The sequence below is a fragment of the Homo sapiens genome, chromosome 10 (assembly GCF_000001405.40).
Source record: "Homo sapiens chromosome 10, GRCh38.p14 Primary Assembly".
NCBI lineage: Eukaryota > Metazoa > Chordata > Mammalia > Primates > Hominidae > Homo > Homo sapiens.
Genome location: NC_000010.11, coordinates 23,913,806 through 23,938,595, shown reverse-complemented (window position 1 = coordinate 23,938,595; position 24,790 = coordinate 23,913,806). Strand labels below are relative to the sequence as shown.

The 24,790-nt window shown below is 41.5% G+C and overlaps 1 protein-coding gene across 1 annotated transcript in view, besides 2 other annotated features; it reads right to left on the bottom strand.

Moving 5' to 3' along the window:
• Positions 1-24,790, bottom strand: part of KIAA1217 — an 853,117-nt gene that overhangs the window by 609,248 nt on the left and 219,079 nt on the right. The gene's annotated exons all lie outside the window — the stretch shown is intronic.
• Positions 18,693-19,586: an enhancer, noted in NCBI's record as "H3K27ac hESC enhancer chr10:24207939-24208832 (GRCh37/hg19 assembly coordinates)". NCBI's record gives its function as "activates a minimal SCP1, AML or CMV promoter by ChIP-STARR-seq in naive H9 embryonic stem cells {active_cell/tissue: H9 hESC(naive)}" and the evidence as "EXISTENCE:reporter gene assay evidence [ECO:0000049][PMID:30033119]".
• Positions 19,587-20,482: an enhancer, noted in NCBI's record as "H3K27ac hESC enhancer chr10:24207043-24207938 (GRCh37/hg19 assembly coordinates)". NCBI's record gives its function as "activates a minimal SCP1, AML or CMV promoter by ChIP-STARR-seq in naive H9 embryonic stem cells {active_cell/tissue: H9 hESC(naive)}" and the evidence as "EXISTENCE:reporter gene assay evidence [ECO:0000049][PMID:30033119]".

Here is a 24,790-nt window from a genome sequence, read left to right as displayed (position 1 = left end):
TTGTATATAAATAGTTGTATGCTGTATTATATACAAAGTAATACAAATTTTAAAATTTGTATCTTTTTATTGTTGTACTGCTATTTTTATTTTAAATTTTTCAATATTTTTGGTCTGTAGTTGGTTGAAACCACGGATGCAGAATGCACAGACATAGAGGTCTCGGTGTATATACATACTTACCTATGTACGAGCTTTGTTCTTGGGCATATTTAGTTACCTGGAAACATTTTGATTCAATCAAGGCTTGCATTTAAGATTAGTTAACTGCACTGGAGCAGACTTTATTCTAGAGCTGATTGTTTTTCCTGACTTTGCCTGGCTCAATACCCATCGAAGCACTCTATCTGATTCCCTATATATTATGACACATTCCTATTTTGCCTGGTGGAAACACCGACTATTCCAAGTCTTGCGTGAGCTCTGAGGAAAGTTCTGCGTGACCTTTTGAGTGGTTCATTCTCCAACCTTAAGAAGTTTCCCAACATATAGATGCTGGTTATACTAAGCAGAAGATGGGAGGGGCCTTCTCTGTATCTCCAGTGCTCTCTTTGTATTCACTTCTTTCTTTACTAATACCATGCCCTGTGAACTCTCGACACTTGGCCTGCCCTGAACTCTCAACTTCATCTTCTTAGCTCAGCAATTCCTCTCAGTTTTGACTGGGTTCCCTCTCCCTGTGCTAAAGTCTGGAAACCGATTCCTGGAAATAAACTGGGACAATCCCAGGGTTCATCTCATTTGTTTCCCCTCTCTCAGGCATCCCTGTCCTACATTGCTTGCTCCCCAATGTCTGAAAATCATTATTTCTTATATTTTCACCAGGTTATTAGTTGTTTTTATTGGGAAGGTAAACCTGGGCCCTGTTATCCCAATTTGGCCTGAAGCAGAAGTTCCCATTTACTTATGATGATGCCAAATTAAGTTAAGGTGCCATGGGGAAAAAATAAGTAGACTAATGGGCCGTTCTATGGAGCCTCTTCTCAGCCACCTTTTATAACCTGGCTTCTTTTTCTTTTTCCATTTTGTAAGCAACATATAAAACATGGGATAGTGGGGCTAGGTAAGGTGCAGATTCTGGTGAACAGAATTGGGACAGTACTGCCGGATGTATATCGTGACAGAGGACAGAATCTGGAAGGAAGACAAGTAAAAGATGGGCCAACCACAGGGAATTTGGAGCCTTGGTTCTAGGAATGAGTTTCAGGTAAACCAGAAGGCTGGGTGGTCAGTGTGCCACCAAGCAGCCAGGTATGGGAGTGTTTGTTTGTGTCCCCATGCTACTCTCCAACCCAAGGGATTTTGAACACCATTTTTCAGTCATAGTAGGTGCGCTCCTCCCTCACTCCTAAAAAGCTCCGTCCCTATAATTACATCATATGTAACCTAGCTCACATAAGACCACTTGAAAGAAAGAATCAGGCCAGGCATGGTGGCTCATGCCTGTAATCCCAGCACTTTGGGAGGCCAAGGCGTGCAGATCACTTGAGGTCAGGAGTTCGAGACCAGCCTGCCTAACACGGCGAAAACCTGTCTCTACTAAAAATACAAAAATTAGGCATCATGGCAGGTGCCTATGGTCCTAGCTACTCATGTGACTGAGGAAGGAGAATCACTTGAACCCGGGAGGTGGAGGTTGCAGTAAGCTGAGATGACACCACTGCACTCCAGTCTGGGTGACAAAGAGAAACACTGTCAAAAAAAAAGAATGAAAGGAGACTTCAACTGTATTTGTATTATCATGGCCCTAAACAACATGAGTGCTTTCTGTGTGTATTAGTTTCCTGGGGCTGCCATAACAAATTATCACAAACTGTGTTGCCTGAAACAACAGAAATGTATTATCTCACAGTTCTGGAGGCCTAAAGTCTGAAATCCAGGTGTCTGCAGGACCACGCTGCCTCTGAAAGCTCCAGGGAAGAATCCTTCCTTGCTTCTTCCCAGGAGCTGGTGGTTGCTGGGAATCCCTGGTGTTCTTTGGCTTTACAGGCGTCACTCTAATCTCAGCCTCTAGCATTACACAGCCTTCTTCTCTGTGTGTATCCTCTGTGTCTTTGTGTCTGAATCTCCCTTTGCTTCCTTTTATAAAGACACCAGTGATTGAACTTAGAACCCACGCTAATCCACTACGACTTCATCACAACCTAATTACATTTGCAAGAGCGCAAATGAGGTCACATTCACAAGTACTGGGGCTGGAACCTAGACATATCTCTTGTTGGGGCCGGGGGGTAATGTAATATAACCCAGTACAGGTAGTATGCAAGATATCTTTCTTTGACCCTCAATTCTACACTCCACCTTTCCCTACCATTCTCTCAGTCCCTGGAGGCTGACCTTTATGGGTGACATCATGGGTCCCCATGACCTCTGGCTTCTAGCTGTGTTTAGTGAATGAGGACCCCAGGAGCTGACTGGAATAACTGAGAAGACTGTAGCCAGATAATTTACTGACCTGCTTCCCTCCTGTGAGGTGGCTCCCAGTGTTGTTGTGTGCTTTAACAGAAGGTCCTCAGGCTGCCTGCTGTATTTTTACTGTTTCCTGGTTCTAGAAGATTCTTCCTCTTGCCATTTGGACAGGGATTGGGGATACATCATGGCTCCTATTAGGTCCTGCAATCTACCTTGCAGTCTCTTTTGTAATCAGGACCTTTATTATCAAACCATCTAGATTATCATAATGTGTATGTGCCATCTGTTTTCTGTTGGGACCCTGACATTTATCCACCATTAGGTGGGCTTCAGTTATTCTAGAAAAGTGATTTTAAAAAATGTTTGAAACTCATAGCACCAAAAGAAAAATTAATTATTTTAATGAAAGCCTTTATAGATAATACTATACACTGCTTCTTAAATATATGCAGGTGCAAATAGTATATAATTAATTATACAGGAACTTTATTATAAACATTAATTATATGATTTTCTGTGTACCTTTTATTTGTTTTATCAATACCACAGATACTGTCTCTGAAGTCTCACTTCCCTTGCTGTTATATGCACTTCCAAGTGTTTCATGTTTTTGTTTTTAACCTGACTCCCAGTTTGTTGCTAATATACTTTGGTCTGAGAGATACAATCATCTAGTTTATAAAATTTTTGGTTACACTGCATATTAAATTGAGAATTTCAGGTGAAATCAGAGCCGATAAATGTCGAGTGAGTACAGACAAAATACATTTCTTTAAAGAAGATGTTTGCTAGCAGCTCTTCAAAATGCTTAGATGTGTTTTTCTCGCAGTGATCTGAGGTGGGCAGAAGTCTGATATTTGGATAAACATGTCCATTCTTATTGACCTGAAGTCAGTTTAATAATTACAAATAAGCCCATCGTCTGTAAGTGCTTCCTTATCCATATTTTGCCTTTCTCAGCTTTCGGACTGGCCAAGAATTCCACACACGGAAGGTGCCATCACTTTCCTAGGCTTTTCAATCATTTATTTATAGAACATAGACTGTACTTATGTACATCACTCATTATTTATAGAACATAGACTGTACTTATCTTAAATAGAAATGCACCCAATGTGATGGAGGTAATATGAACAGCTTGTAGGTTTTTGGAGTCATCAACCCCACCCTCAGTATCCATGACAGATTTTATCCATGGAGGCTAGATGAATTTATTTGCATTTGTTTTTAGTGTTTTATGCTACAGAACTTTAAAAAAATATACTTTGGCTAGGCGCGGTGGCTCATGCCTGTAATCCCAGCACTGTGGGAGGCCTAGGTGGGCGGATCACGAGGTCAGGAGATCGAGACCATCCTGGCTAACATGGTGAGACTCCGTCTCTACTAAAAATACAAAAAATTAGCCGGGTGTGGTGGCGGGTGCCTGTAGTCCCAGCTACTCAGGAGGCTGAGGCAGGAGAATGGCGTGAACCCGGGAGACAGAGCTTGCAGTGAGCCGAAATTGTGCCACTGCACTCCAGCCTGGGTGACAGAGCGAGACTCCGTCTCAAAAAAAAAATATATATATATATATATACATATATATATATATACATATATATATATATATATATATATATATATATACTTTAAAGACCACTTAATATATTTTTCTTTATTTCTTCTAAAAAAAAAAAAGAAAAGAAAGAAAATGAGATACATGTGCAGAATGTGCAGATTTGTTACATAGGTATACGTGTGCCATGGTGGTTTACTGAACCTATTGGCCCATTCTCTAAGCTCCCTCCCCTCACCCCTCACCCCCCAACAGGCCCTAGTGTGTGTTGTTCCCCTCTCCTGTCCGTGTGTTCTCAATGTTCAACTCCCAAGTGAGAACATATGGTGTTTGGTTTTCTGTTCCTGTGTTAGTTTGGTGAAGATGATGGCTTCCAGCTTCATCCATGTCCCTGCAAAGGACATGATCTCATTCTTTTTGATGGCTGCATAGTATTCCACGGTGTACATGTACCACATTTTACTTATCCAGTCTATCACTGATAGGCGTTTGGGTTGGTTCCATGTCTTTGCTATTGTAAACAGTGCTGTAGTAAACATATGCAGCATCTGTTTTTATAGTAGAATGATTTATAGTTCTTTGAGTGCATATCCAGGAATGGGATTGTTGAGTCAAATGGTATTTCCGGTTCTAGATCCTTGAAGAATCACTATACTGTCTTCAATAATGGTTGAACTAATTTACATTCCTACCAACAGTGTAAAAGTGTTTCTTTTTCTCCACAGCCTCACCAGCATCTATTGTTTCCTGACTCTTTAATAATCGCCATTCTGACTGGCATGAGATGGTATCTCACTGTGGTTTTGATTTGCATTTCTCTGATGATCAGTGATGTTGAGCTTTTTTTTATATGTTTGTTGGTTGTGTAAATGTCTTCTTTTGAGAAGTGTCAGTTCATATCCTTTGCCCTCTTTTTGATGGGATTTTTTTTTCTTTTAAATATGTTTAAGTTCCTTGTAAATTCTGGATATTAGACCTTTGTTAGATGGGTAGATTGCAAAACTTTTCTCCCATTCTGTAGGGTGCCTGCTCACTTGGATGATAGTTTCTTTTGCTGTGCAGAGCTCTTAGTTTAATTAGATCCCATTTGTGAATTTTGGCTTTTGTTGCAATTAACAGAAAATCATGTAATTTTAGAACTGGAAAAAAACTTAGTGATCATTAAAAGTAAGTGCAATGATTTTACAATAGAAGAAATAAAGGCTTGGAGAGGTAGGAGCCCTGCTCTAGGAGCAGTGACTGGTCACCTAGCCAGGAGCACGTCCTGGGTCTCTGGAACCCTAGTCCAAAGCAGTACAGTCATCTCAGAAACTAACGCACCCTTCCGGTAAAGATGGCATTGTCCTCTGAAGTTTTTCAAAAAATATTATTTGGTCTGAAACTCTATTCATTTCTCTCTTCAACTCTCCCTGCAGAATGTGATTACACAGCTTGCAGGGAAGACGTAAAGCTGGGATGCAAGCGAGCAGACCCTAGCTCCACAACGCCTAGCAGATAATAAGCTGATTTTATTATATGAGAAGTAAAACTGCCAAAATAATAGCAATCAGCAGCAATGTTGTGATGCTAAGGCAAAGCCTCTACAGCTTTTGTGCTATTATAAACTGCCCATAGTTCTAGCTAATCAACCAATCGTTCATACCAGGTTCTTATGGTATTCAATTTACCTGTCATAGCAACAACCTAAAAACAAGGGTGGTCCTTACATATGGTTCCAATTTCATATTTATCAATTCTTCTAAGCACCTTTATTCTTATTTATTTTTGCTTCATTATTATCCCAAGTAGGAATTTAAGGCCAGGATGCTCTAAAGAAACTCACACAGTTGTGCAACCAGGTCTTTTATATCTGCCAACTAGAAAGTAATGATTAATATAATCTATTTGGCTACTTTGAAAAGAGATAACATCTCAGGACTTCAGAACTCATGTTTTTTAATGTAAAAACAAATAGTAAATGTCAGTGGTATGGGGTAAGATGATGCTAAAATATTACTATCTAAAAATCATAAAGAAAATGCTCCATGAGAATAGGGTTTAACAGCCTCTGGGAAAGTTTATATGTTAAATTTTTACCAGTTATTCAACACTCCCACACACACATTTCTTCAAAGTTGTGTATTAGGCCCAGAGTTGAGGATACATTATATTGCTCAAGTGGCTTTTAACAGTGAATGTTTTCACAAATCTCTAAAGTTGCACTTTTTTTTTTTTAAGACTAGAAGATTCTGGTTCAATTTGTACATTTTGCTGGGCACATATGGGACCATCAACAAATAGTTGATGAATGAATGAAAATTGTATTAAATAAGCGAGAGCTAAGCTATTTTCATCAATTACATTTTTGGACCCTGCAGGCGACAGTCCTGACTTTTCTCACAAGCTGTGATGAATATCAACCCCTTTCTCCACCAAATGCCTTCTTTGCCCTTCTCCATGTCACCTTTGTCCCAGGAGGTCAACTTCAGGACTGCACCAAGGACTCACTTGCCCCTCAGCTTCTGGTTACCTTCAGCCAAGAGGAGGCACCAGCAGAGATGGAAGTTGGAGGAGGGAGAAGCCCAGGTGTGCATTCTTCTGCTCTCTCCCTGCCCTCCCTGCCGGGCTGCTCTGGTTGTTTCATTTACCAACTGCCACAGCTCTTGCCAGCTGGTCTTTTCTGGAGTCTGGTAACTGGCCCCATTTTTTGTCCCTTTAGACAGGGGGGTAGTGACAGCTCTTGTATCCTCCAGCCCTGGAGGACTGCATTATCCTTTACTGTCCAAGCCTTTGCAAACAATCCCTTTAGTAAATGCTCCTTAATTTCCCAGCTTGAGTAAACCATCTGTTTCCTGCCAGGACTCTTACTGATACACAAAAGTTTTAAGAAACTGCATATCTGCCATATATTAAAGTAAAATACGAGAAGATGAAACTAACCCCACCCATGAGAAAGGAAAGTGGGGCTCGTTTGTGATAGGTAACCAGACACTTTTGGGTCAATCTGATGAGGTTTCCTATAGCTGACCAGGGATAATCCATCCCCCTATCATGACCATGTGGACATTTGTGTCAGGCATTGGGAGGGTGCAGGAAGATTATTAGACATAATTCCTATTTCAAGGAGTTTCCAGTCTAGTTGGTGGATAAAGCTCACACTATGATCAGTGCAAGACAGGGTGTAGGTAAATGTTAGATGGGATGGCCTTGACACAGTGACTCTTCTTTCTCCAGGTCAATTTAGGTACAGGGGTGAAGGGCAAGGGCATAGGTGAGTGGAGGACACACCAAAGTCCCCAGATTCTAGATTCAAATTTTGGCTTTGCTGTTTCCTGGTTATGCGATCAAGGACAAGTCACTCTTTCCCTCTGGGGCTCAGTTTGTTTATCCATGAAATGGACAAGCTAATGCTGATACCTATCACTCAGAATTATTGTAGGAATTATACAAGAACATCCATGTAATGAATTTAACATAATGTTTGACCCCTAGGAAGAACCCAATAAATGCTAGTTGTTGTTATAAGTAAGACATGGTAGAAGCAGGCGGGGTGAGTTAGCTTGCAGCCTAGAAGTAGGAACTATAGAAAATTATAGAAAAGTATTTAATAGAATATTCTGTTGCTACATTCAATATGATGATAGTTCCACCAGACTTAAGATATGCATGTATTCTTTAATTGCAAAAAAGACAATGAACTAGAACTCCTGTATAATTGGGTGTATCTTCAGGAGACCAAGGGGAGGCACACGTGAGGAAGGACAGGCTCAATACCAAAGGGCCATCTAAGAAGGTGAAACATACAACAAGGTCACATGATTGTTAAGGGCAGGAAATCCAGGCCTCACCCTCAGGAGTCCATGTTCCCACTGAGTTAACTTATGTAAATCAGAGCTCGAGTGCAATGAAGGAAAAGAGAATGTCCTCCAATGTCTTTTTCCTGATGAATCACAGATACACTGGAAAAGTCTATTTCACTGACTCTGATTTCTGTGCAAATTGTAAATAACTCACTTCTCATATTGCCCTTTCCAAGCAAGATGCAGAAATTGTAATTTCTGAAAGGCCCTGCCAATTATCTTGCTAGTATATCTGTGTGCATCTTGACTGTAAGATGCAAACCAGTTTTAGAAACATTCGAATGTGAAAAAATGTCTGCTGCCGAGTTGAGAGCAAATAATACAGGATGTAGAACAAATGTGGACATAGCTCTTTGGAAGCACCACCACCCTTCATGAGGACTTTCGACAATTTTTTAGCTTGCATATTTAGATAATAACTATATAAGATGACATAGAAACAGATGTTATAGAAGGTTGACATTTTTCTGTATATATATTTAAAGATCCTGGGGTTGATTTTTTAAATCCCTTATTTCAGAAACATAAATAAATCAATAAGAAAAGCACCAAATAACCCCATTTAAAAGTGGGTGAAGGATATGAACAAACACTTCTCAAAAGAAGACAAACTAGTGACCGAGAAAGATATGAAAAAAATGCTCAACATCAGTCATCATCAGAACAATGCAAATTAAAACCACAATGAGATATCATCTCACACCAGTCAGAATGGCTATTAGCAAAAAAGTCAAAAAATAACAGATGCCAGCAAAGTTGTAGAAAAAGGAGAATGCTTATACACTATTAGTGGGATTATAAATTAGTTCAGCCCCTGTGGAAATCAGCTCAGAGATTTCCCAAAAAAAGAGGAATGCTTATACACTATCAGTGGGAATATAAATTAGTTCAGCCGTTGTGGAAATCAGCTCCGAGATTTCCCAAAGAACTTAAAACAGAACTACCATCTGACCCAGCAACCCCATCACTGGGTATATATCCAAAGGAAAATAAATTATTCCACCAAAAAGACACCTACATTCATACGTTTATTGCAGCACTACTGACAATAGCAAAGAGATGTAAGCAACTTAGGTGCCCATCCACTGTGGATTGAATAAAGAAAATATACCTCATGGATACTACGCAGCCACAAAAAAAAGAATGAAATCACGTCCTTTGCAGCAACATGGACGCAGCTGGAGGCCATTATCTTAAGCAAATTAACACAGGAACAGAAAACCAAATACTACATGTTCTCACTTACAAGTGGGAGCTGAACACTGGGTACACGTGGACTTAAAGATGGGAAAATAAACACTGGGGACTCCAAAAGTGAGGAAGGAGGGAAGTGAGCAAGTATTGAAAAACTACCTATTGGGTACTATGCTCACTATTGGGTTCAGCAGAAGCCCAAACCTCAGCATCACACAATATCTCCATGCAGCAAACCTGCACATGTGCCCCCTTAGTCTAAAATAAAAAAAAATAAAAAATAAAATAAAATCCATTATTTCAGTGAGTTCATATTTTTTTCTTTCTAACTGATGCAGACTTTGTGGTGGTTAGCCATGAAGAATTGCATGAATAATTGACAATAAATGAGAGATTTTGTGTTTTACAATTTACTTCATTTTATTTCTTAGCATAGCAATATTAAAATAATAATAATAAACATTCCATCTCCTTTTCTTGGCTTACAAGGCCCTACCTGATTTGGCCTCTGCATAACCACCTCATCTTGTACCTCTTCTTTCTGCCTTGCCTGGCACACTGATCTTCTTTCTGGTCCTCTATCATGCCAAGCTTGTGTACGCTGGAACCTCTGCCCTTACAGTTCGTTGTCTAGACCTTTGCATAGTTGACTTGTCATTCAGACCTCAACTTATAGGTCATCTCCTCAGACAGAGGGGCCTTCTGAGACCTCTCCAGGTAAGATGGCCACAGAGTGGCTATCACCTTGCCCTTTTTAAATTTTCAATGTGGAAGTGAACAAAACAAAATCTGGAACCATATTGCCTGTGTTCAAGGTCTTTACTACTTATGTGAACCCTTGAGCTATAAGTGTCTCAGTTTCCTTGTCTGTAAAATGCGGATAATAATGGTATCTACCTCATGAGGTTGTTGGGGGCATGACACGTAGTAAGCACTATGTAATTGTATGAGTGTAATTCCTTGCTCATTGACCGTTTTCCATCTTCAAAGACTTTAAGTTACAGGAGAACAAGGATCCTGTCATGCCCTGTTCAGTACTCCATCCCCAGGCCCTAGAGTAATGTCTTGCAAACAGTAGGTGCTCAATAACTACTTATTAAATGAATGACCATATACATTTATATAAACAAATAAATGAACAAATCATCATTTGCTAATTGCATGATGAACAATTCATCAAGCAATTAGCAAAGAGAAAGATCTATCATGCCACGGAAAACTAAAATTCACCGCAAATTCTGGGAAGCTGCTTTCTCAGGTAACTGTTTGAAAAGCAATATTTTCCACTAGAATATGTGATTTGCTTTCAAAGAAAGAGCTAGAAACAACGTTTCCTCCCCCAGTCCATCTGGACCGTGGCCCTACCAAGCCTAAACTGCTCTCAGGGGACCCTGTGCTGCTCGAAGGAGCTGCCAGATGTGGCTTCCTTGTGAAATACACAAGCACAATGTCTCAAAGAGGGACTGAAATGCTTGATGATTAGGCAAAAGCCAGCCAAGCCTACAGAGGTAGACAGCTTAGCCATTGTTTCTTTTAAGCTATGCTTTTTAACAGATATCAAGTACCCTGCCAGCAGCCCATGATGCTGGTCTGCTGGGTGGACGAGTTACTGCATCTGGCCTAAAGTTTAACAGCACAAGTCCTTCAGTGATTGAATTAGGCAAGCTTATGATTACCATTTTTTCCATTTAATTAGCTGTTTTATATGTGTATTTCCTCCCAAGTCTTATGTTCAATGTGACATTTGGTTTATCGCGCACTAGTTTCAGAAGTAAGCCTGAAAAAGAATCTTACTGTCTCCGGAGGCCTGAATAGCACATCTGTTTATATGGGAATCTGCTGCAGAACCCCCAACACGGAAACCAGGTGACATTCAGGGAGCTCAAAGCAAGAAAACATTCAGAAGCATTTATTCTGGGAAAGGACAGAGGGTTTATAAATCTCATCCTGAAAATATATAACCAAAAGCCTAGTGCATCACCATTTTGTCTTCCTTAAGATTCTACTTTCATGAGCTCACATAATCACTTTCAATCACATATGAGCATCTCACAGCATGTCATCCTTCTCTCACAGGAAAATAAAATTTGATTTTGATCCTTCAAAATCTACCTCTGATTTACTACTAGTTTTGTGTGGCACTAATTCTCATAATATTTTCACGTTACACTTTAAATAGAATAATGATCAGTGGTAATGCAAGAGGAGAACCTCAATGTATAGAAAACATTTGGCCACACACACACACACACACACACACACACACACACCCTATGACTTGCTAGGGTGAGCCTTGTGAGAGAAAATGGAACTACTGCTGGAACAGAAATAACTTATAGTAAAAATTTTCAGGCAGTTAAAATAAATAAGATAGACCAGGCACTTTGGGATCCCAGCATAGCAATTTATAAATAGGATCCCAGCACTTTGGGAGGCTGAGGTGGGAGGATCACTTGAGATCAGAAGTTCAAGATCAGCCTGGACAACATCAGAAAATCTGTCTCTACAAAAAATACAAAAATTAGCCAGGCATGGTGGTACATGCCTGTGGATCCAGGTACTCGGGAGGCTGAGGTGGGAGGATTGCTTGAACCTGGGAAGTCGAGGCTGCAGTGAGCCCAGATCACGTGACTGCACTCCAGGCTGGGCAACAAAGTGAAACCCTGTCTCAAAAAAAGAATAAATAAATAAACAGATAAATAAATAGGATAGACTGCTGTCTCAAATAACTTTCTCTAAACACAGAGGAAGAGAGATAAAGATTGAAGGATCGAAAAGAGGGAGGAAGAAAAGAGGGAGGAAGGGAGGCAAGCAGGTAACAATTTTCCAGGCACTTTATTTATTTATTTATTTATTTATTTATTTATTTTTGAGACAGAATCTTGCTCTGTCACCCAGGCTGGAGTGCAATGGCATGATCTCAGCTCACTGCAACCTCCGCCTCCCGGGTTCAAGCAATTCTCCTGCCTCAGCCTCCTGAGTAGCTGGGATTACAGGCGCCTGCCACCACGCCCAGCTAATTTATGTATTTTTAGTAGAGACGGGGCTTCACCATGTTGGTCAGGCTGGTCTTGAACTCCTGACCTCAGGTGATCCACTCACGTCGCCCTCCCAAAGTGTTGGGATTACAGGCGTGAGCCACTGCTCCGGGCCTACCTTTGAAACAGGACTAATGCACATCTCATATGGAAATATTGACAGCATTCTCTATCATTCTTAGCATGGTCATCATTTTCATATGAGATGTGTATTAATCCTGTTTCAAAGACAAGAAACTCAAGTATTAGACTTTTCTTGACTTCTGTTGCCTCCTTTTGTATGCAGAGAAATTAAGTGGCTACACTTCTGCCCCTGTATTTTATTTTTTCCCAGCCCCCTCCACCCATCCCGGCCCTGGGTGGGAGAACTGACTGAATCTAATTAAGGAACAGGGAGGAGATACTGAGCCTGTGTAGATTCCCCTTCTTCCTTCTTTTTCCTGAGGACCAATGCACCTGAGCTGATTTTCACAGCTGCTTTGCCAGGTGCAGTCTCTGCCTCAGTATGGGGAGGTCTGCCTGGATCGAGGACCACAGTGATGGGGTGTGGGTAAGTATGCGCATTTTGAAATCCAGTATGAGAAAGTTTATTGGCCTTCATATATAAGCCAGATTCCCTTTGACTCAGAATACAGGTGCTGTTTTGACACCCATTTGCTTTACTACTTTGCATCAATTCTCAGCTGATCAAAACTCCTGCAGAAAAGAGGAGTATTATTTTATTGGGCCTCTTTGGATCCCAGACCCTAAGCTTGTAGGAATTCATTTACTTGCTTAAGGCCACAGAGCTGGAAAGAGACAGGGACCAGAAATGAATCCAGTCTGTCTACAGTCACTTAGGGCGTGTTCCACTTCTTCCCTCCATGATCACAGAAGGGCAGCACCTCATTCTGAGATGGCAAGTCCTGAAGGATGATTAAAGGCTCAGGGAAAACTGATGCCTCTGCCTTCGAAACATGGAACACAGCATAAAAGTGAACTTTGTTAAGCTGCAATTCACTCAGAAAAGTCTTTCAAAAGCTTGGAAATGTATTAAACGAGTTGGAAAAGTCCAGCGACAGTCAAAAGAGACTGATCCTTGCAGAATGCAGAGAGGAGGTGGGTTGAGGGCAGAAGGCAGGACTTAGTATGTATCGGCCCTTAATATATCTATAATTTCTTTCATGTCTCTCCACTAGAATGAAGCTCCGGGAGTTTTATTTCCTGATGCCTCTCTAGTGCCTAACCCAGGGCCTGGCACTGGCTTAGTAAATATTTGTTGATCAGGGGCATGCCTATGTATGCTGAAAGAGAAGAAGGAAAGCAAGAAATTGCCAGCCTTTGTAAGTTGTTTCCTTATCTTTTTCCTTCTGCTTCTACTGACATTGCTGCTGTTTTTCCTCCTCCTTCTCCTTCTTTCCCTATCTATCTTCCTTCTGTCTTGCTTCCTCTCCTCCTTCTCCATCTTCTTCTTCCACATTTCTAAGTAATATGAACACTTTTGGGACTAAAAATTTGGGATATTTCACCTCAAAGACATTTTCCTTTCTGTACAATGGGAAAAACAGGCCAAGTTTCCAGATCTCTCAAAATAATGCTATTTTGGCTACTGGATTTTTTTTTAAGTTTTCTCTAAGTAAATCTACTTTTAAAAATTTCTAAAATTTAAGAATATTTCTAAATTCATTATTTTTTTTTCCATAACAGCTAACGCCACATCCTAGTTTAATAGCATTTGCAAATTTCAGTAATGTCTTCCTGCTCCCTTGTTCAGACTCAGAAACAGTGTCATAAAGGAGACTGGATATAGGCCTGTTACTGAGGTGCAATTGAATCATCTGCACCACTTTTCTTTTTCATACAGATTATTTGCAAACTTTTTAATCCTGGAGTAGGAGAAAAAGCGCTGGAGGCATGAAATTTGGAGGCAGGAAGCAAGGTGTGGTCCCAGCTCGCTATGGTCCTACTGTCTGACTTTGAACGTTTCCTTGAGTTCTCTATGTCTAATTTTGCTCATCTGACAGGACAAATAAGGTGACCTTAAGGTCACTACTTCTAAAATAACTCAGACTCTACTGCTCTCATTTTGTCACAAAATCGGTATCATCTTTACATCTTCCTCTTACACTATAGAGGCATTTAAAAATCCTACATTTTCTTCTTATAGAGAAGACTTAAAATTCACTTCCACACCTCATTTTCATGATTAGACTTTTTCATTTGTTCTTTGGTCATTCTGGTAGTTATATTGTAGTTTCCTTTGATCAGTCTCCAAGATTTTCATCAACTTTCCTCTAATTACTTTAAAAAGTAAAGACAGTTATCTTAGTTTCCCATTGCTGCCGCCACAAATTACCCCAAACACAGTGGCTTGCACATGTATCCTAGAACTTAAAGTAAAAAAAAAAAAAAAGAATCAGAGTAGCAAATAGTGGGGAAAAATACAGTATCACCAACTTCAAAATATTTACAATTATTGTTTGCAGTTTTGATCATAAATTGATCAGTAATTCTAAATATAACATTTAAAAATCATAATTATCTTGAGACATTTTTGACAATTTCCATTAAATCCTATGAAAACATAGTTGAAAATCTATGTATATGAATAGGTATTTGCAAAAAATAAAGGTAAACGTGAAAGCTACTTCCTAATCCTACATTTTAAATTTCACTTCCAAATGCCACTGCCATTGGAAATAAAAGCAACAAATAATATCCAATTTAAAATTTTCAATAAATTAAATATACTCAAATTTAAAAAACAAAAACAAACAAAAAACCACTCAGATTTGTTCCCTTACAGTTCTGGAGGTCAGACGTCTGAAGTCAGTTTCACTGGGCTAGAGTCAAGGTGTCAGCAAGGCTGGTTACTGCTGTGAGCTCCAGGGGGAGAAACCATTTCCTTGCCTTTTTAAGCTTTTAGTGGTGACCTGTTGTTGTGGCTTGCAACCCCTTCCTCCTTCTTCCGACACATCTCTCCATCTCTGCTTCTGTCATTCCATCACCCTATCCTGTGTGTAGTCAAATCTCCTTCTGCCACCTCTTACAAAGATGCCTGTGATCACATTTAGGGCCCACCCAGATAATCCAGGACCATCTCCCCATCTCAAAACCCCTCATTTAAACACAGCTGCAAAGTTCCCTTTGCCATATAAGGATGTAGGCATCTTTGAGGGGCCATTATCCACCCTACCACAGTGTGACTTTCTCACCATTCGGAGCACAGAGTTCTTATTTTAAAAGGTCTTTCTTGGGACACTTGTACACACATGTTTATAACAGCACAATTTGCAATTGCAAAAATATGGAACGAGCCTAAATACCCTGGATGGAACCGGTGACCGTTATTCTAAGTGAAGTAACTCAGGAATGGAAACCCAAACATTGTATGTTCTCACTGACATGTGGGAGCTATGCTATGAGGATGCAAAGGCATAAGAATGATACAATGGACTTTGGGGACTCGGGGGGAAGGCTGGGAGTGGGGTGAAGGATAAAAGACTACATATTGGGTACAGTGTACCCTGCTTGGGTGACAGGTGTGCCAAAATCTCAGAACTCACCACTAAAGAACTTATCCATGTAACTAAACACCATCTGTTCCCCCAAAACTATTAAAATAAAATAAAAGTCTTTCTTGGTTTACCTTACAATATGCATCAAAACTAGGTTTTGTTTTGGTTTGTTTTTAAGTATTATATCATCCTTTCCTTTGTTTGTAGCTGGTGTGCCTAGTTCTGGATAGGTTTTCCTTTACCTTATTTCAGGCCGCCATGTTCCTTAGCAACATTTTCTGTCATTAAAAGCATCCCCCTTATAATCTTCAAGATCTGCTGAATTCTAATGTTCTCCACTCTTGAGTCAAAGACATTAAAAAGGAAATTGTTTTTCTATGCTCACTACACTTCTGACACCAAATGTGTGGATTTTCCATACCCAGGAGTTCTCCTGTTCTCTGTAGACACCAACTGGGTGACCTACAATTTAGTTTCATTCTAACACTAACTACCTGAGTTAGCACAGACCCCACAGGTTAAGGGTTCAGTCCCCCAAGACTGTTCCCACTTCAGATGCCAATTCCAAAGAGAGGGTCCCCATGTCACCCAGACTTAGGTCTGACTTGATTACCAAATGAGAATTCCCATAACCCCCTTCTCAGGTTAGATAATTTCCTATAACAGCTCTCAGAACTCAGGGAAACACTTTACTTACATTTACTGGTTTATTAGAAAAGATATTATAAAGGATACAAATGAACGGTCAGATGAGGAGGTATGGAGGTCAAGGTATGAGAGCTGGTGCAGAGATTTTTATACCCTCTCTGGGGATGCCACCTTTCTGGTACTTCCACTTGTTCACCAACCTGAAAGCTCTCTGAACCCCTTCTTTTAGGGTTTCTACAGAGGTTGCATTATGCAGGCATGATTGATTAAATTATTGGCCAGAGGTTGCATTATGTAGTCATGATTGATTAAATTATTGGCCATCTCCAGCCACTCTCTGCTCCCAGGAGGCTGTTGGTGGGGGGTGGGGGGTGAAAGTTCTGACACTCTCATCACATGGCTGGTACCTCTGGCAACTGCAACTCCCATCCTGAAGCTATCTAGGAGCCCCAGCCACCAATCATCCATTAGCACACAAAAAGACACATTTATCACTACTAGGATTCCAAGGGTCTTACAAGCTCTTGTGTCAGGAACAAGAGATGAAGACCAAATATATATTTCTTATTATGTTACAAGTCCACACAGCCACAACCTGGCAAACAGCACTGTTTTGCTAATAATGCTAGGAGTGGTTAACTATGAACCATGTTCATGGGGCTTCTGTTCTGAAAAGACAATGGGCACTAACCTGCAACCAAACAGCCAGGGGGGTGCACCTGCTCATCCCTGAACACCCTCCCCGAAGAAACTCATGGGCCTGCAGAAAGAATAACATGCTCAGCCCCCAGCTCAAAGTATCACACATTTTGAACAGAGGCTATTTGAGCCTTCTACTGATTGGATTCTCATTTCCCTGGCAAAGCTTAAGAAATATTTGGTGAAGCTTAAGAAATATGGCCTTGCACTGGCCCTAAAATATCAGTACAAGAGAGGATAGGCAACACCAACCATGAGAGAAGGAAGTGACAACAATGTGCTGGAATCTTAAGCTAAATTATTCAAGCAGATGGAGTCAGGAAAACACAAGTTCTCTCTCTGATGGAATCTTCTCACTGGATCAGAAAATAGGACTTCAATGAGCCCACAGTTGTCTGTTTTGAGCTCCAGCTGCAGGAAAGGGGTGTTCTGTGTCCCTGACCAAATCCCTAAGAGAAATCATTCATTTTCTATTGGGTATAGAAATCCCAACATATGCACTTCACCAGAGACAAATTTGCCAGTTGTTGAAATGGTTCTATATAAAGAGAGTGATGTTTTGACTTTAAAACAAACAAAAAGTTTAATATAAGCTGTGTATTAGTCCATTTTCACACTGCAATGAAGAAACACCTGAGACTTCGTAATTTATAAAGAAAAAGAGGTATAATGGACTCACAGTTCCACATAGCTAGGGAGGCTTCACAATCATGGCAGAAGGCAAAGGAGGAACAAAGGCACTTCTTACATGGTGGCAGGCAAGAGAGTGTGTGCAGGGGAGCTGTTCTTTATAAAATCATGAGACTTATTCTCTATCACAAGAACAGCATGTGAAAAACCCTCCCTCATGATTCAATTACCTCTCACTGTGTCCCTTCCATGATACATGAGGATTATGAGAACTACAGTTCAAGATGAGATTTGGGTGGGGACACAGCCAGGCCATATCAGCTGAAACCAGGTTCCCATCACAGGAGAACTCTGTCCATTAGAGCTATCAGTGGACTGACTGGGCCATCTTGAGACAGAGAAGTCCCTGTCACTGACTGTTCAAAAGGAGGTCAGACAACTATATCTCAGAGTGTGGCAGAGGGGATTTAAGAGATAAATAGAGAGACAAAAGAAGGAATTAGCCTTAATGTCTTCAAAGATTCTTATAAGCTTGGTATCTAATCATTCTAAGGCCAAGTCTAATGTGATCTGATGACGCACCACAAGTCATTAACCTGAAAGACCTCAAGGAGACCAGTGAATCCTATGTCCACCCAAAAAGCTCAGGTTGCCTTCAAAACAAAATTTTATCAGTCCAGAAATAGAATACACTTTAATCAATCTAGCCAGTCAGCGACCTTACCAAAAGAAAGGACAGAGAAGCTAAAAGTGGATGACCAGAGACTAAAGCAAAAGTGTCCGATGTCTACCTCTGAAGCTGGATCTCCATGGTCACAAATGAAACCCTACAAAAGGGCTTCTAGTCCCTCTCCTTTTACCTGAGTCCTCCTTAAGGTGTGCTGGGCAAGAAAAACAAAAACAAAAACAAAAACAAACAAACAAACAAAAAAACCTAAATGTCACTGTGTTGCAGAAGAGGGTCAAAGCTGAGGACATTTTGTCCTTGAGTAGCTGGGTGTGGAGCAAAGGGTCAATGACTTCAGAGTCCACATGACAAAGCCTCTTTAAGTCACCCATTCTGGAATCTTCTCTTGGAGGACTGACCCTGGGATTGGCATTTCTTGGAAGCCCTCTCTTTCTGGATTGTGCCCTGTAAAAATTGTGTCTGAGATGTCAACAAGTTCAAGCAAGTACTGTGTCCTGGAGAAGGTCAGGAAGGAAGGAACTAGGTGGCCAAGGAGAAAGGTGTCATGGGGCAGAATTTTGCAGTCGTTCTAGTTGAAGAGGCTCCTCTAGATTCAGGTCAGCTCTCTTTGGGTAGCACCGAAAGAATAGGGTTTGGAACTAAAGCCTTGTGTTAATGAACACTGTCATCTGCTCCCAGAGCATAAGACAGTGCCTGCACACTTGGCATGTATGAATGAATATTGTTGAATGAATGAATGAATGAGTAAATGAATCTGCAGAGCCTTTTTTTTTTTTTTTTTTTTTTTTTAGAGAAGGAGTCTTGCTTTGTCGCCCAGGCTGGAGTGCAGTGGCACAATATCGACCTACTGCAATCTCTGCCTCACGGGCTCAAGCAATTCTCCTTCCGCAGCCTCCCGAGTAGCTGGGATTACAGACACATGCCACTGCACCCAGATAATTTTTGTATTTTTAGTAGAGATGGGGTTTCACCATGTTGCCCAGGCTGGTCTTGAACTCCTGACCTCAGGTGATCCACCTGCCTCGGCCTCCCAAAGTGCTGGGATTACAGGGGTGACCCACTGCACCCAGTCGATGATTAGGGGTTTAGAGGAGGAATTGAGATTTAGTGGGGTGGGGGTTGGTTGCAGCCAAGAGAAATAAATAACTTAAAAAAAAAATGACCCTAGCTTCAAACATGCACACCTAACACTTGACATTTGCCACCTTCCTTATTAGAGACTCTCAGATTCCTCTCTGATGAGATAAGCCTTCACCCAGACAGACCCAAACCAATGACAATAGACACTGAATGTGGGGCTGGAGGTTGGGAGATGGGGGAGTCATTTCCATTTCTTTCAACATCTCAGACTGAAAATGAGTCATCTGTATCTGTGACCAATGCCTGTCCACATGACCCTGATATAGCCTGTGTTCTCTTTCTTTACTCATCAGAGACCTGGCTTCCCCATGTGCTTGTTTAAGCCTTGTATGGGGAGACATCTAATTAGGCTTAGGGACTTGGCTCTGACTCTGTAGCAGCCCTGGAGGTGCAAAGACAATTGTCTTGGCATCTGCTGTCAGCAAACTTGCTCTCTGGATGATTTACTGGGGAGGAAAAAGGGGTGCTGTTATTGTCACTTACTATATATGTGTGTGTGTGTGTGTGTGTGTGTGTGTGTGTATATATTTAATTCTTAAAGATCACACTATTGCCACTATCTGTGGGTATGAAATTATTCATGGTCCATCCAGTGCTGGGTACATGCTGGACTTCACTGTGTTTGTCTTAGCAGGAGCTGGTAACAGCCTGATGCCGACAGCAGGTCTATGACAGCGCAAGCATTCACAGTAGCCTTCCTACTGGAGCTACCGTGGGAATGGTGACATTCCCAAGGGGTCTCAGCTGTGACCCAGCACTGCAGCAGACTGCATGCAAAGGTTATCACGGCTAAACACAGCTTCCCGAAAGGGCAGGTCAAGCATCAGTTATGCTTCATTCTCAGAACAAGATCCACTTGTGACTAGTGGTTTCAAAGTTTATTTTTCACATGGAGATGAGCCAATTTCTCATTAGCCTCTTGTTTTGCTTGTTTTGTTTTCTCTAAGAATTGTGGGATAAGGGTAGGGCACAGCGGCTCATGCCTGTTATCCCAGCACTTTAGGAGGCTAAGACAGGAAGATCACTTTATTGAGGTCAGGAGTTTGAGAACAACCTGGGGAATGAAGCAAGACCCTATCTCTTTAAAAAAAAAAAAAAAAAAAAAGTCCCAGCTACTCTGGAGGCTGACATGGGAGGATCAATTGAGCACAGGACTTTGAGGTTGCAGTGAGCCATGATCACACCACTGCACTTCACCCTGAGTGACAGAGAAAGATCCTGTCTCTTAAAAAAAAAATTGTGGGATAAAAAATGTCTTGCCTTTCAATTGTAAACATGAATCCTATTTAAATGCATCTAAGCTAAAACTGGTCTTGTTCATTCCATACATCTCTCTATACGAACATACATAATACATCCCACAAACCCTAAAGCAAAGTACTCAAGTGATCATACCTCTCTAAATGGAAGACAAAGGGTCATAGGCCCTTCACAGCTTTAGGCATTGAGAGTGGTTTCTCATCTTCCCTTGCTGGTCATACTTAGCACATAGGATGTGCTGTGGGAGCGAGAAACAGACACCATTTGTCAGCGACAGCTGTCTGGACAGCTGGGGAGAGCCCTGTGTTACCTTCCTGGAACTCTCTGGCTGACTCTTTTGCATTGACCTTTCATATTGCCTGCAGCACACTAGCTCTGGGAAATGACATCTCCAAACTAAAACTATAGTCACTTTTCACTCGCACAGTCAGAGTTCTTGCTCCAGATCTCCAATCTGTTATTGCATCTCACCACCTCTTCCTCTGTGGCCGCTGCTCCCACATCAGTCCAGAGTCTCCATTTCCTTCTTCCACTGCCCTCTTTTCACAAGGCCCTAGGCTTGCTGCCAAGTATTCACAGAACAAGCAATCTGAGAATTTCAGAGTGAGGAGTAAGAACCTGAGTATCCCCTTGTCTCAGATGCCCTACTGCCCTAGAAGCTCTCTGGACTGAAATGAGAGTGGTTCCTTCTGAGTGAGGGACCATGGTTTTGGAAATTGCAATTCAGCAAGACTTCCATTCTGAATATGGACTCAGTGGAGGTCTGCGTGCAATGCTGTCTTTATCTCAGTTTTCCTCTACCATTTCTTGTTTAATTTGGTCATGATAGCCACCAGAGTGTCATTAACGCACTAAAATGAAGTGGGAGCATAATAAAATATGTTAAAACACGAAAATGTTGGCGTAGTCCAACTGATATGTGTATATTATATTCTATAAGAAGAAAAAAGGAGGGAAAGGAAAGGAAATGAAAGGGAGGAAAGATAGAAAGAAAACTAAGACAAACCTTTTTTTTTTTTTTTTTTTTGAGAGAATCTCACTCTGTCACCAAGCTGGAGTGCAATGGCACGATCTCAGCTCACTGCAACCTCCAACTCCCTGTTTCAAGTGATTCTCCTGCCTCAGCCTCCCGTGTAGCTGGAATTACAGGCACACGCCACCACATCCAGCTAATTTTTGTATTTTTATTAAAGACAGGGCTTCACCATATTAGCCAGGGTGGTCTTGATCTTCTGACCTCGTGATCTGCCCGCCTCAGCCTCCCTAAGTGCTGAGATTATAGACACTAGCCACTGCGCCCTGCCAGCCAAACATTTTTAATAAAATGTATCTGGGTGCTAGCATATGTAGGCTACATGAATAAGAAACTCTCCAATCACCACTTACAGTGACCTTTACAAGGAAATACTTTCATATTTAGTGTTTGAAAGGTACTATGTATTTATTCTAATCTAGCACTACCAGAGCATTAAATAAACAAGCAAGCGACTGCAATTCAGTGAGATCCACACTACCTCTAGTTGAAGAAGATATAAAGTGGTGTGAATGCACCAGGAAGGAAGAGACACATTGCCTGAGGTGGGATTGCAGAAAAGGAACCAACTGAGCCGGGCTGTGAAGGATGAGGAAGATTTGCTTAGAGCCAGAGTAAGACAGGCAAAGCATGAACAATAGAGTGCAAATTCAAATATGGCCTTAACTTACCTTTGAAAGCCGTAATTGAAATGAGGTTAGAGAATTTTATGGATGTGTCTGTGTCTGTTACTATAAATCTAGACAACTGAAAGTTCAGCTCACCCTCATTGGACATCAGTCAATCTAGAAGGCTGCTTTCAGTTTAATTTTTTCCTTGGAATAGGGCAAGAAGACAATCTGACAGTATTAACCTGGACTGTGGCATATGCAACCGGAGGCTGAATATTTTAAAGTGACAGATAGAATATTGATAACTGGCAGCCAAGAAAGTACCTAAAAGCCCATCCTTGGCATTCTGACATTCTTAAGCATTGCCCTAGGTATTCTTTCCCTGCCATTATAACACGGTTTTTAAAAGAATTTCCACCTCCTAAATCTTGTGCTTCTCCCTTCCCCCATATTAACCAATGATAGGACCTTCTCCTTGACAGAGAAAGCAGATACTGTCTACGAGCTGGCTTTGAACTTCCCACAGGCAATTCTACAAAGGTATTCCTCTCTGCCCAAACTTTCCTCCTGGGTCTGGTCATCGGCCCTGCCTTCCTGCCAGTCTTGCACCTTTCTCTGCCCTAGGTTACCATTCCATCTCTAGAAGCACCTTCCCAATAACTGATTTTAAAGTAAACCCTTTGTTTTGGAATAGCTATAGATTTCCAGAAAAGTTGCAGAAATAGTACAGAGAATTTCTATATACCCTTACCCATCTTTCCCTAGCATGCACATGGTATCTTGGTACATTACCTTGGTGTATCAGCCCAAATTAAGGAAACAATGTTGGTAGAATACTGTGAACTAAACACCACACTTTATTTGGATTTCATCAGTTTTCCCCTCATCTCCTTTTTCTATTCCTAATAGCATTTTACCATATCCAAATCTCTACAATATTAAAACAATAACAATAACAAAAAGCCTGTATGAAACATCCACGACTTCCCTCCCCCCCACATCTCCCTCACTGGTAAACTCTTGTTTTCCCATCTACATCTCAGCTCATGACAACCGCTGCAACTGCCTTTGCCAAGGTTGCTAAAGATCCAATTATTTCTAAATCCAAGGACCTCTTCTTTTTTCTTAGCTACATGACCTCTTTGTAGCATTGACCGCTTGTTCTGTTTCTGAGCAATTTCATGTTTGTCATTTTCAACCTCCCCTTGATCTTTTTCTGTCTTCCTCACCCCTTTCTTCCTTCCTTTCCTCCTTTCTTTCCTTTCTTCCCTCTTCTTTTTTCTTTTCTTATTTCTTGTAGGGTTCTCTTTCTTCTGTCACAGGTCGGGTCTATAATTTCTTTTCTTCTCACTCTAGGCATTCCTGCAGATAGATCTTATTTCTTCAATAAATCAATAGATCTAGTGACTCTCAAACCTACATCTACTCACCCAAAATCTCCCTTGAGCATCCCAGCATCTACAAATGTCCACAGTCCTGCTCCACAGGCAGCTGGAAGTGAATGTTGCACATCAAGACTGGCAGCTTGCCCAGCAGTGATTTCCTTCTTTGGGGGATGAACTTAACTGAAAAGGAGAATTGCCATGGACCTAAGCACTGGGTGTTGCACCGGTATTTACACTGTTCTTAAACCTGGGCTGGAGTGAAAGAGGGGAGGGAGGATCACTACTCTGCAGCATCCTGTTATGTGCATAGAGCCACGGGGCTGGGTTACAGCTGATGTTAAAATTTTGAACCAGCCCACCATGGTGGCTCACACCTGTAATCCCAGTGCTTTGGGAGGCCAGAGTGGGAGGATCACTTGAGGCCAGGAGTTTGAGACCAGCCTGCACAACACAGCAAGACCCCTATCTCTACAAAAATTAAAAAAATTAGCCAGTGCAGTGATGTGCACCTGTAATCCCAGCTACTCAGGAGGCTGAGGTGGGAGGATTGCTTGAGCCCAGGAATTGGAGGCTGCAGTGAGCTATGACTGTGCCACTACACTCCAGCCTGGGAAACAGAGTGAGATCCTATCTTTAGAAAAGTATTCTAAACCAATGTCAAGGAAAAAGGTGGAATTGTGCATGTTGGTGACTGACCTCAGATGTGGCCCATCACACCCCTGTGCAGCCCTCTTTGTAAGCTGCACTCTGCCTCTAAAGGTGAGTTTCCTCCACCTGGAAGAGTCTTCCTCTGCCTGGAAGAATGACCAAGGCCCACTCATCCTTCCAATCTTGGCTTCTGTATCCCCTGTCTTGGACAGTCTTACTTGGCCTCCAGACTAGGTTGAGTTTCCTCTCCTCTCTCACTTAGCACAGCATGGTAAGGCTGGGTCCCTTTCTCCCAAGGGCAGGGCATGCCTCTGTGTTTCTGCAACACCCCTGGCACCTAGGAGCCACCTGGCTCCAGGGAGGGTCCAGGTACATGCTGGTTACGTAGAGGAAGAGCTGAATGAATAAGAACAGCCAGCCATGCCTTCCCTGTGTGAGGACAACAGGTAGAAGGAGAAGGAAGTAGTTCCCTGCTCTCCCCCAACCCCCAAAGAGACTCCCCCATGGGATTGT